Source organism: Homo sapiens, chromosome 12, assembly GCF_000001405.40.
Source record: "Homo sapiens chromosome 12, GRCh38.p14 Primary Assembly".
NCBI classification, from domain to species: Eukaryota; Metazoa; Chordata; class Mammalia; order Primates; family Hominidae; genus Homo; species Homo sapiens.
Window position 1 is genome coordinate 103,520,364 of NC_000012.12, and position 13,255 is coordinate 103,533,618.

The window sequence follows — 13,255 nt, forward strand, 5'->3', positions numbered from 1 at the left end:
ACTCCTCCCAGAATATCTATTTTTTATTATTTTAAAAAATAAAAGTCAAGTGCAGTGGCTCATGCCTGTAATCCCAGAACTTTGAGAGTCCCAAGTCAGAGGATGGCTTGAGGCCAGAAGTTTGAGACCAGCCTGGGCAACATAATAAGACCTCTGCCCCTAACAACAACAACAACAACAACAACAACAACAAATCTTTTTAAAATTAGTTGTTGGGGATTGAGGAAGGAGTATAACCGAAGCCCAGGAACTCACAACTGCAGTGAGCTATGATCACATCACTGCACTCCAGCCCAGTTGACAGTCAGACTCTGTCTCAAAAACATAATGAAAAAAAAAATAAAACTAACAAAAACTTAACTGAAATAATGGCCTGAGCCAGAAGCTATTAAGGAAAAAAATGGAACTGTGAAGACTTCATGGGCATGCCCAGTCCAGACACTCATCTGTCTCTCTCTTGTGTGAATGTCCTGCCTCCCTGTTACTACATGATGGACTCCTATTCATACTTCAAGACCCAAATTAATTATTTATTGCCTTCATTGTGAAGCCTTCCCCCAAAACTCCAGAAGGAATTAGTCATTCCCTTCCAAGTTGTGAGAGGCTTTTATGCTGACATCTACTATAGTGCTTGTCTCCCTCCTAGACAGTAAACACCTTTATTTTGCCATGTCATCATGCTCTATGTACTATAGGTTGTAGGATATGGCATGCACTGTGCTGCATTAAACTTTTCAGCTCCAGCAGCTAACGCAACGTATGGCACTGTGGAAATAATTAATTCAGGGACCATTAGTCTGAGATGGCTCCAGCACCTTGAGTTCCAACTAAAACTGAACCCAGAGTGGAATAGTCATAGCCTAGGAAAACAAAACAAACTTAACCAATCATTGCATCACTATTCACAGCAGCAAAGACATGGAATCAATCCAAATGGCCATGAATGATAGACTGGATTAAGAGGTGCCATCGAATACTATGCAGCCATTTAAAAAAGCGAGATCATGTCCTTTGCAGGAACATGGATGGAGCTTGAAGCCATTATCCTCAGCAAACTACCACAGGAACAGAAAACCAAACACCACATGTTCTCACTTATAAGTGGGAGCTGAACAAGGAGAATACATGGACATAGGGAGGTGAACAACACACACTGGGGCCTGTTGGGGTGAGTGGTGGGAGGGAGAGCATCAGAATAAATAGCTAATGCATGTGGGGCTTAATACCTAGGTGATGGGTTGATAGGTGCAGCAAACCACCATGGCTCATGTTTACCTATGTAACAAACCTGCACATCCTGCACATGTATCCTAGAACTTAAAATTTAATTTAATTTTTAAAAAAGAGAAACTACCCACTAACCTCTAACTAGGGACTTTCTACTTTAGTCAATGAAATATCGTCTTTGTCTTGCTTCCACTAACACCTCATAAACATTTTCCCCTCTCCCACTCAGTGGAGCCCCAACCAGTTGCAGTTTGGTGCTGCCTGATTTATGAATTGCTGTCTGCTCAAATAAACTCTAAAATTTAAATGTGCTTAAGTCGATATATTAACAGCACAGAGTGGTGCTCAAAAGACATTAATGGATAACCAGACCTGATCCTTAATTCTGTCTCCCCTCAGTTGTGCTGTCTCCTGGTTGGCACCTTTTGTGCACCTCATGTTCCCTTGGCTGGTGATATGGTTTGGCTGTGTCCCCACCCAAATCTCACCTTGAATTGCAATAATCCCCACATGTCAAGGGCAGGGTCAGGTGGAGATAATTGAATCATGGGGGCTGTTTCCCCCATACTTTTCTCATGGTAGTGAATAAGTCTCACGAGATCTGATGGCTATATAAAGGGTTTCCCCTTTTGCTTGGCTCTCATTCTCTCTTGCCTGCCACCAGGTAAGGCATCGGTTGTTCTTCCTTTATCTTCCACCATGATTGTGAGGTCTCCCCAGCCATGTGGAACTGTGAGTCCATTAAAGCTCTTTCCTTTACAAATTACCCAGTCTTGGGTATGTCTTTATTAGCAACATGTGAATGGACTAATACAGCTGGGCTTTTTGTCCCGGCCCTCTCTGTAACACCAGCTATGCCCGGGAGCCATTTGGCAACATTGCACCTCAACAGCACCCTCATCTCTCATGGCTCTCCAGCACAGCCCCAGCCAGCCATCCTGACACACGTGCAAACCTGGAAGGAAATGGGAGATAACATTCCATAGGGCACTCCTCGACCATTGGGATATGGGAGCTGATTTTTAGAATGCCCCCCTCTTTCATGTCTCAGGAGACTATTTCGAGGTATATTCTGCACAGCTCTTCAGAGAGTCACCAACAGGATTGTGTTCCTATTGCCCTCAACAGTAACCAGCTAATAACACACCCTTGGATGGGCTTTCACTCCCTGCACCTTGAAATTACTTCCCAAAATATATTGCCTGCAAACAAGTCCTCATCTCAGACTCTACTTAGATGCAAGTCCACAATGGTTTTGATGGCAGAAGAAATTACACAGGGGAGCCAAACTTCCACAGTCAGAGGCTACTCTGCTAGACTCAACAGGTCAGCCTGGAAACAAGTCCCATTGTTACAGGATTATGGAAGGAGACAGTGTCTAGCAGGCTCTGTGGCTAGTAAGCACAAACCTAGAAGTCCCAAGGAGGGAAAAACAATCCCAAGATTGAATGATGTCAGTCTGAAGAGCCATCTCTGTGCAGCAAGGCCATCTGCTACATCTAACTTAGCTTAATATCAATAGCTAAGATAAATGAGCCCTCTCTTTTAAAGATGCTCATCTATAGTTAGAATTTAATCCTTTTGGACCAGTAGGTCCCAGTCACTTGGCGGTCTATGGAGCTATTGTGGGAGCTCATAATAGTTTATATAATCACTGTACCTTGTCTGGAGAGGGAATAAATGTCTCATCATTTCTTTAGACAGCCTATGTGTATACATGCTGTTTCAATTCATCAAATAAAAACTCATTCTAAAAATGTTACTGATTTTTTATAGCTTTTGGCCATTATATGTCTTCTCTATCAATAATAGTATCCTCGTTTAAAGGGTATCTGCAAATTACATTAACATTAGAAAGGGATCCTCATATTCCAAAAGTTTTATAACACCTGTTTTAAGTGATATTAAAATAAAACAATGCTGTAGTTGCTTAATGATAGCTTCTAAACATCAAATGTCTCTATATATGTATATATAGTGTTCATGTATACAGTATATATATACAGTTCATATATACATATATATACTCTATATATGTATATATATGTAGTGTCTATATATAGACACTCGGTGTTTAGAAGCTATCATTAAGCAATTACAGCATTGTTTTATTTTCATATCACTTAAAACAGGTGTTGTAGAGCTTTTGGAATATGAGGATCACTTTCATATATATATATATATCTTAAACCTTTCAACAACCCCATAAAAGAGGTATTATTAGTTCCCCTTTAAAAGTAAGAAAACAGATTCAGAATGTGTAGGGAACTTGCCCAAGACCATAGAGATAAGTGTTGGAGCTAAGATCAGGATGGAGGCCTGTGAGCCCTTCCTGTCGCCATCATTCACTCACTGAATAGGCATGTTGGGGACATGTGGGGACATGCCAAGTGCTGTACACTTTGGGTAAAGCATAGTCATTATCCAACCCTTGCTCCTGGAAAAATTTCCCTTCTGACAGTTTAATTCAATTCTTCTCCTTGCTCAGCTTAAGTGGGTTTAAGGTGTAACAGAATCTGACCTTCTTTAGCTTCTTTTCACAGCCCCTAAGATGCATTCTGCCTATCCTTTTGCAAGGATTTCTTGCTCTTTTATCACCTGTTTGTTCTCTGGCCTCTAGTTCACCTACAAAGAAAGATTAAAGGGGAGACAAGCTCAGTTATTTGAGTCTTTCCAGCTGCCCCAATTTCATCCTTCTGCCAGGGAAGAGAGCTTGGTCCTATAAGGAGGAATCAAAGAGTTGGCAAGAACAGATTCCCATCGTTTCCAGCCACGCTGCCTTGAGGCACACAGAGGTGGCAAAAAAAAGGGCCTGGTCAGGTTTTCTGTGTGTGTCCTTTGTGTTCCAAAACCAGAGAGACCTGCTTCCCAAGCCTCCACGTGCCTTCTCCATTAGCACCAAGCACAGCTAAACCCTGGGCAAGTCCTCCCTCTAAAATATCACCAGGGAACAAACGCAGCAACCTTGTCATTTATCAGAATGATGATCAGCCCAGCAACACAGTCAGGCTGGACCAAATCAACTTCAAGTTATTTGAAATGTGTAATCCATTAAGTAAACTGATCTGTCACAATGCCCTGGGTCATTCCCTGGCAAGGTAGCCCATGATGAATAGCTGCTAAGGGGCAGAACATAGGTAGTTTTCTGAGGTCCATCAACAGATTGACTGCACATAAGTGCCAAGACAGTTACAGGACACCTCCAGGAAGCACTTTCAGGCATGCCTGTGATATCACAGTGACAAGAAAAGTTCAGCATCACAGGACCTGCAGCTGGTTTTGATCAGAGTTATCTTCTCCTGACTCCAAGCAATGTTGTCACAAAACATGGCTGGCCCAACTAAATTGGAAGTTGTTCTTTTTAGTTTTTTTGGGGGGGGGGCAGGGGGGCAGGTCTGGGGAGATTTTTTTGTTTGTTTTTTGTTTGTTTTGTTTTGTTTTGTTTGAGACAGGATCTTGCTCTGTCACCCAGGCTGCAGTGCAGTGGCACAATCTCGGCTCACTGCAGCCTCAACCTCCTGGGCTCACGTGATCCCCCTGCCTCAGCCTTCCAAGTAACTGGGACTACAGGCATGTGCCACCAGACCCAGCTAATTTTGTTTTATTTTTGATAGAGATTGGGCGGGGGGAAGTCTCACTATGTTGCCCAGGCTGGTCTTGAACTCCTGGACTCAAGTGATCCTCTTGCCTGTGCCTCCCAAAGTAGTAGGATTACAGACATGAGCCACCACACCTGGCTATGAAATTCTGGAATCTTAAAGAAGCTGAGTGACAAATGCATTGTGACACCATAATTTAGCTCCTTTAGGAATCCATCTCAATGAATGCAAAGATTTGGCTACAGGTTGTTTCATAGAGTGTTATTTGTGGATGATGTGATGTTGATGATGGTGATGATGGATCAAGCTTGGCACTGATCCAAGCACTTCATGTATAATATTAACCCAAGTTATCATCATAGCAACCCCTGAGGTAAAATATTATTATTAACAGTATTATTATAATTAATTGTAGTAACCCCATTAGCAAAATATTATAAGTATCAATATTATTATAATTAAAGTAGTATTATTACAATTTTACAAATGAGAAAACTGACACCTACAGCAGTCAAATAATTTTGTCAATATGATGCATCCAGTAAAAACAATCTGCCAGGCCAGGCGCGGTGGCTCACGCCTGTAATCCCAGCACTTTGAGAGGCCAAGGCAGATGAATCACAAGGTCAGGAATTCAAGACCAGCCTGGCCAACAAGGTGAAACCCCATCTCTACTAAAAATACAAAAATTAGCTGGGCGTGGTGGTGGGCACCTGTAATCCCAGCTACTTGGAGGCTGAGGCAGGAGAATTGCTTGAAACCGAAGGCGGAGGTTGCAGTGAGCCAAGATTGCACCACTGCACTCCAGCCTGGGCAAAAGAGTGAAGTTCTGTCTCAAAAAAAACAAAACAAAACAAAATCTGCCTTCAGAGGCTGCTCTTTTAAGCATCTCTGCTAGTTGCAAGAAACCAATCACCCACATGTGTTTTATCTTTCAACTATTCCGAGCTTTCAATTTTATTCCCTTTAATCCTCAAGAAAGAATGATAGGGAATCCTTAATAATATTTTTGTAATAAAATTACCACATTAACTTTGAGAAGAAATAATATAATCTTCAGGCAAATAAAGCATTATTTGCTTTTTCTAAGCATATTTAAGCTACTCTGGTTGTCAGAAACCAGAACTCAATTCTTAAAATCAATATGCACTATGGAAAGCCATGTGATTTGGCAAAGTTTCTATCATTGCACGAGTTGTCTGGTTTTAGTTGATAGAGTGAAAAGAACAAAATGTAAACTAATGTAACTCAAGGGTTTGGGGTAAGTTTCAGCATATGTGTCGTTATTTCATTGTATCCCCAGGAGAACACTAGGAGGTGTATATGATTAGTCCCATTTGCAGAGATAGGAAAGAAAGGCTTAGAGAGGTTAAGTAATTTTCCCAATACTATGGACTGAATTGTATCTCCCCAAAATTCATATGTTCAAGCCCTAACCCCCAATGTGACTATGTTTGAAGCAAGGAAATCATTAAGCACCAGAAAGCTCAATCCTGACATGCTCCCTCTCCATGTGCACAGAAAAAGCCCATGTGAAGACACGGGGAAAAGAAAGCTGTTAACAAGGCAAGAAAAAGAGCCCTCAGCAAGAACTGAATCAGCTGGCATTTCAATCTGGGACTGCTAGCCTCCACAGCTTTGAGAAAATAAATTTCTATTGTTGAAGCTTCCCAATGTACAGTATTTTGTTATGGCAGCCTGAGCAGACTAGTACACTCAAGATCACGCAGCTACCAAACAGTAGAACAGAACCAAAACTTGTGCTTTCTTCATTGCAACAGGCTGTCTGTATTTGGCGTTAGTGGTTCCCATTCAACAGCAGCTACTTTTCTTCTTTCTTACTCAGAGAACCCAATTGACTTCTGGCAGCCTATGGGCTGGTCCTCTTCTTCTTGTCAGGGATTGGTTAAATTTGGTATACATTGTAATTTGGGCAACGAGATGGGAAGCAAGTCTGCTGAAAGGCTTCTGAGAAAGATTTCCTTACCAAAAAAATTTCAGAAAGAAATGGTTTCTTTTCTGCCACTGGACATGAACATGTCTGTGCTTGAGAGCTGGATCTGTGGCAGCCATCTTGTAAGCATGAGGGGGTTACTCTGAGGGAAAAATGCTAAAGACTACAGAATGACAAGATGGAAGGAATCTTGTCATTTGTCCCCTCCAAATCTCATGTTGAAATTTGATCCCTAATGTTGGCGGTGGGGCCTAATGGAAGGAGTTTGGGTCATGGAGATGGACCCCTCATGAATAGATTAGTGCCCACTAGGTGCTTGTCAACATTATAGAGCTTCTACAGAAACCAACTTGGAGTTTCCCTCATTCTGACATATTGTTGATGAGCTAATAAATCCTCTTATTGTTCATGCTATCATGAGTAGGTTTTTCTCTTCCTTTCTGGTACTTCCTGTTCCTTCCTTCCTGATACAATCAGTATTTCAGGCCTACAAACACATAGCTATGCAGATGTCGCTGAAGGGACCATAAATTCCCAGTTAGGCTTGCAGCCTCTCCTCCACATCTCTCAGGGGGCCAGAACCTGAACCACCCATGGCTAGGATTTCACCCCTCCTCAAGAGAGACCACATGCCTTCACAATGTTAGAATTTGTTTATGCTGATATGAAATCCAGTGTTTGTTATCAACTGCTCCTACTTCTACCCACTAAGCAAATATCATCTCTGTTCTTTAACTTTTAAATTTATACAATGAAGGCATGTCTGGACTGAGCTCTGGGTTTAGACAATGGGATAAGTAAAACGGGGTCCTTGCCCCATTAATTACTCATAATTTTCACAATAGCCATTCAGATTTTGAAGGCAGCTATCATATTTTCTATCCCCAAATTGTCAGCTCCCAAAAAATATAGACTTTAGTTATACTTCTTTTGCAATACTGGCTTACTATAGGCATGTAATAGATTTCATGGGATGAATGAATCAATGAATGAATGGTAGAAGAAATGGAACATTTAACAAATGCCAAACATAGGGATAGATATAGACATAGATATAGATTCTGCTCATGAAAGAAGTCAGGAAGAGAAGATGAAGACATAGATATAAGAAAAAAATTGAGAAAGCAACAGACAAATTTCAATTAGGTCCAACCAGTGTCATATAGCTTACAAGTAGTACTTGAGCTGTGAATTGGCATGAAAGAGACTACAGTCAAGGGAAAATTCCTTTGCCTGATGCTATAGTTGGATGTTTGTCCCTCTAAGTCTCATGTTGAAATTTGATCCCTAATGTTGGAGGTGGGGCCTATTGGGAGGATTTTGGTCATGGAGGGGGACCCCTCATGAATAGATTAGTGCCCACTCAGTGTGTGGTGAGGGAGTTCTAGCTCTGTTAGTTCTCCAGAGAGCTGGCTGTTAAAAAGAGCCAGGCAGCAACCCCTCCTCTCTCTTGCCTCCTCCCTCACCCTGTGCTCTCTCTGCATGCCAGCTCCCCTTCGCCTTCTGCCATGAATAGAAGCCACCTGAGGCCCTCACCAGATGCCCAATCTAGAACTTTTCCAGACATCAAAATCACGAGCCAAATAAATTTGAGTTTTTTTCCTTATAAAAATTACCCAGTTTCCAGTATTCCTTTATAGCAACACCAAATGAAGACACCAACTTTGTGCCAAATGCTACACTGGATGCTTTCACAGACATTCTTCTACCTAATCCTCTAATAACTGTTTGGGGCAAGTATTGTCCATGTTTTAGACAATGAGGAAACCAAGGCTCAGAGAATTTCAGAAACATGTTCAAAATCACAGAGGCGGTGAGTGGTAGGGCAGAGATTCAAACTTTTTGGTCCCTGAACCCATGTTGTTTCTACCATTCAATGTTTCCAAAGTAGTATAAGAGTGTGCACCAAAGGAAAAAACAACAACGAAAAAAAACGCCATTGCAAACTATACCATGAAAACCAATAAATGCCCATCCTCCAGGTGCCTGAGCATGACTTAAAAATAGGGGTGAATCCTATCCACGTATCGGCATCTGGTGTCAAATCATCACAATGAACAGTAGCACAAGATCTCAACCTTTGTGTTCACTTATTTTACTCCTCTCTTTACCGTTATTAATAGCTGCAAATAGTAAATTCTAATGGAGCCCATAGGATTGCTTTTAAATAAGCAAGGATATAACTCAAAGGTGGATTTCCTCAGCATGTAATGCCTGAAATGTTAGACTTTGTCCATTCCTGTAAATGCTGTAGCAGCTCTGCATTAGAGCTTCTCACAGCTAACTGCTTTTGTGGTTAATGAACTATTTCAACAGTGCGTCGGCTCTCCTCCCTTCTCAGGATACCCGTTGCCACATAAACACACCATTCTGAACAATACCACCCTATTAGCAGATGGTGTTGGATTAACACAATCATCCACAGGTCTGGGCTGGCAGCAGGAGATAGTCAGGGATGGCGGGATTTGAGAATTTGAGCTCTACAGACTGTTTGGGTCTCTCTGGAGTGTGTTACAGGGTATGAGTTCTGCTCTTCAGAAACCTGGCAGCTGTGATAAATGCATTTCCACTGATCATTTCAACCTGCAATTTGCAACATCTGATTCCTTTTATGAGGTTTGGCTATTTCAATGGTGAGACAAAATCAACCCCCAACTTGGGCTTTGAATTTTCATCATTTTTAAACTTCTGTTTCCCTCACCCCCAAAGAGATTTCCAAAATTTCCCTTTCAGCTGCCTTTCCTCCCCCATACTTCATTAGATAGCATTCCCCCATGACACTTTCAGAATTCTCCCCAGATACCAAAAGAATGGGGCTTAGGAGTGTATTTCTTAATCGCCCTGTCTTCATTTTGCTTTAGTCAATACGCTTAAGGCACAAGTTATTAAAATGTGTATTACTGACTTGACTTTAGGCTTTGAAAGTACAAAGAAGTCTTCTCTTTACACAGCTAGTGGAGATTGCTGAAAATAATAAGGCCCAAGATGGGAAAATTTCCATTTCGTACTTTTTTAGAGATTCCTCTGAAAAGAGAAGGTAAGCTATGCCAGAAAATAAAAGTTATCAGGAAGTATCTGCAGAGTGTTCCTGGAGGCAGTTCTCCTCTGGAATCCGAACTGTCAGCTGCACATGGAGCCCGGCTGACTTATGAAGAGCGTGATGTGGGATCGTTTGGCATTCTGCAAAGGCGGTGGCGTGTGTTGGGGGCCAAGGCGTGCTGGAGACTTTGGGGTCTGCCAGGCTTTCACTCTCTCCAGATCGCCCCTGCCTCCCAGCAGGAGCTGACCCAGGCTTAGAAAAGGTTAACTAGCACAAACAGCCATCATTTGTGACGAGTGGGAAAGCCCCATGTGTTGCCCCAGCTTCTCATTATGAGGCATGAGGGGTGGGTTTTCTCTGTTGTTCAGACGGTTGGCACAGGGTAAATACCCAGCATGCTTCTGCTTTAGGAACTGGAAGGGCCTGTCTCCCGGCAAGTGTTCGGGGGGGGAAAACCCACACCATCGGAAACCCTCCTATTGGTGAGATGGGGGAGGTGAGGGGTGAAGGAGATAGGGAAAGAATTTGGGTGCAGAATCACTCTTCAGTGTGTGTTGAATAAATTCGTTCACCTAGACCTAATCGGTTCAAATGCTCTATTTTCAGACCCCATCTGCTTACCTCAAGGAAAGTTTGGGGAACAGCTCTGTCCTATTGTGAGCCCATCATTTTGCAAATCTATTCCCGCCACAGCTCTCATTATAACAGATGTCAGCAGAGGAATCTGAGCTGTCAGGGAACTGCTGACCATGAAAAGGAGGGGCAGAGGCAAGAAGCGATGCAAACAAAACAGTCGCCCCCATGACACACATAAACAGGAATGTTTGTCACAATATTTTCCCACATTGCCCAACAATTCCAGGGGACATATTTCTCAAAGAAAAGGGGGGAAACATCACTGTAAGACTAATGAGGCAGAATCCATCAAGTTCATCTCCTCCAACTTGAAGGATCTGTAACCCAGTCCTAAAATCGTCTTTCTCTGCAATGAAAATTGATATATATGTATTCCCCACAAGAGAGTTTCTTGATGACATTAAAAATAATGTGCCAGCTAACTTTTAGGCTGGGCAGTGGTGTAGAGAGTTTAAGCTTCCATTTTTTAATCTTTTTTTCTTTTTATAAAACCTGCCACATCCTGAGTTGTGATCAAAAAGGGTCCTAAAATTGTGCATGTGGTAAGAAAGAGAGCACAATTTCTTGCTAGCCCTACCCTTCTGTCAGAATGTTAGGATAATCCATGAAGCCTGCCTATAGCAGTAGCACAGAATCAAGGGCTGTTTCCCTTGAATACAGTTTTTCTAATCTGGGTCTTCTGTTGTCAAAAGAAAGCAAAGAGTTGGGTCTTGGAACCAGAGATATTGAGATCACTGGATTTCCTCCCAGCTCATGATTTCAGAGGTTTGAGTAGCAAGTCCTTTTCATTACATTTTGGGTAAGAGAATATTAACCTGGTAAATATTAAAACTTCACATTCATCAAAATATATCAATTCCTAGAATCTGAGAGACCTCTCTAAATTCCCATCCAGTATCAAAGCCCATCAGTGATTTTGTTTAAAGACCAAGGCCCTAGCAATATTTCCAGATTGGTGCTTCAGTTGGTTACACAGGTTGTTGGTTGAAGACAAATCCCTTCTAAAAGGGCATGCTGGTTCTTTAAGAGTTTTGCTTTAACCTAAACTTTAAAAACTGCATTATGAAGCATTGTGGGATTACAGTTTATATATAACTTAGATTATGATCTTTGTTGGCTTTTTTCTGTTTTTAAGACCAAATGATAAGGCAGACTCTGCTGCAATGGCCTATCTGTAAAACCTTAACATGTCGCATAAACACACCTTTAAATAAAAATTCCTTGCTATCATGTTCTGCTCTATGCCTCAAAGAAACTCACCTAACTTTTATGCAAGGCAGCCAGGCAAATGTTAATATCTCCATTTTATAGTTGAAGAAACTGAGGCACTCAAAGAACAAAAGTTTAAAGCTATATCTTCTAACTCCTGGTGCTTCTCCCTACACCCTGGGTATAAAAAGCTCCATAATTTTTCACACCCATCTGCATGATGGATACCGTGCAGCCGTGAAAAACCAGGTGAGAAAATAATATGTATTAAAGATGGGAAAACGTTTATAACATACAAAGTAGAAACACTCTAGATACCAAAACTGTGTATGGTATGATCTCAATGTGTTTTATAAATGGACTTATTTATATGCTTTGATTAGAAATATGTACAAAATATTGATTATGGTTGTCCCTGAATGGTGAGCATTTTACTTTCTCTTTTATACCTACTTTGTATTTAAAACATTTTATACAAGAAAATTGTAAAACAATATTGTGCCATCTGGAAAAAAAAACATGTATTTGATTGGCAGTATGTATCACAAGTCATGTTCTAAACTAAAGAAAATTTAATAAGAAAGAAAAATAGCTCTATTTTACTTTGTTTAATTCTCAACTTCTGACACAATTATGTATAATATTTTTGACTCTCAGATCTATGACCTCCATGACAAAATCAAACACTGTCCTGTGTCATTTGCATGATATGCTTATTAAATTACCATTAGTATATGTGACCTACTAACTGTATGATGAAATATACAAAAATGAGGATGACCGCCGTAACCATTACAGAAGTGTCAGTCTTGCCAGCCTCCTCTAACAACAGGGCAGACACAGAGTCGAGTCTTCAAAGAGGTCACATCAAAACGCCCCTGCCCCACAGGCAAGGTGAAGCGCGGATCACGGAGACAACGGGGAATTGTGTTTCTGCTGGCATGACTGGAACCAATGCCAATCACACAAAAGTTCACCCTACGGTTCAGTCCTTGACAGAATATGATTCCTTTCAGACTCATTCCACCAGCAGAGTGAGTTTCTAAACATTCTCCGGCTGCATTTCATAATACTAACGATATAAATGAATATTTAGTCGAGAGCATTAACTTTTTGCAACAATGGTGGTTATGTCCTCTAACTCAATAATTGCTATACTTACCAAATACTATGGGAATTTGTCATTGCTGAAAACAGCAAATTAGTTTTGGGGAACTTGAATTTTCTTAAATTGTCCCTTCCCAGACAGGAATTCATTCTGGCAGTATAAAGTTGAATATTGCTAGTACCCCAGAAGACCTTCCAGCTAATCTGATTCTCTTTAGTTCAGTATCTTCAACAGCTACTGTGGTCTTTCTGGTTGCTCTCGTCCATTGTGCTTTTGGTCCTCATGGGTCTCAGCTCAGACACATTTTCTCTCTGGTCCCAATTTTCCACAAAAATGTCCTCTGGATGACCCCCGGGTCTATGTAAACAGTAAAACTGCCATGCCAGGCATGGTCTGGGGAACCAAAGCTCACACTGTATTCTAGATAGTTAATGTTCTGAAGCTACATTTGAAAGCAACATTTTCTGAGATAACTTTTGCGG

The 13,255-nt window shown here is 41.3% G+C and overlaps 1 protein-coding gene across 10 annotated transcripts in view; it reads right to left on the bottom strand.

Annotated features, from left to right (window-relative positions):
- The window catches only part of C12orf42 (chromosome 12 open reading frame 42), a 516,167-nt gene that overhangs the window by 472,740 nt on the left and 30,172 nt on the right, over window positions 1–13,255 (bottom strand). For 2 of the 10 annotated variants that reach the window (XM_011538306.2, XM_047428802.1), the window contains exons 1-2: window positions 4,866–4,883; window positions 3,749–3,852 (exon numbers count right to left, since the gene is read on the bottom strand). The exons of 1 other annotated variant lie outside the window; for it this stretch is intronic. In XM_011538306.2, coding sequence (XP_011536608.1) covers window positions 3,749–3,784 — 36 coding nt within the window. In that variant the 5' untranslated portion in view covers window positions 3,785–3,852; window positions 4,866–4,883. Of the gene's footprint in view, window positions 1–3,748; window positions 3,853–4,865; window positions 4,897–13,255 lie in introns of those variants that run through there. 7 more of the 10 variants (XR_001748690.2, XR_001748691.2, XM_017019281.2 and 4 more) reach the window with 7 other exon arrangements.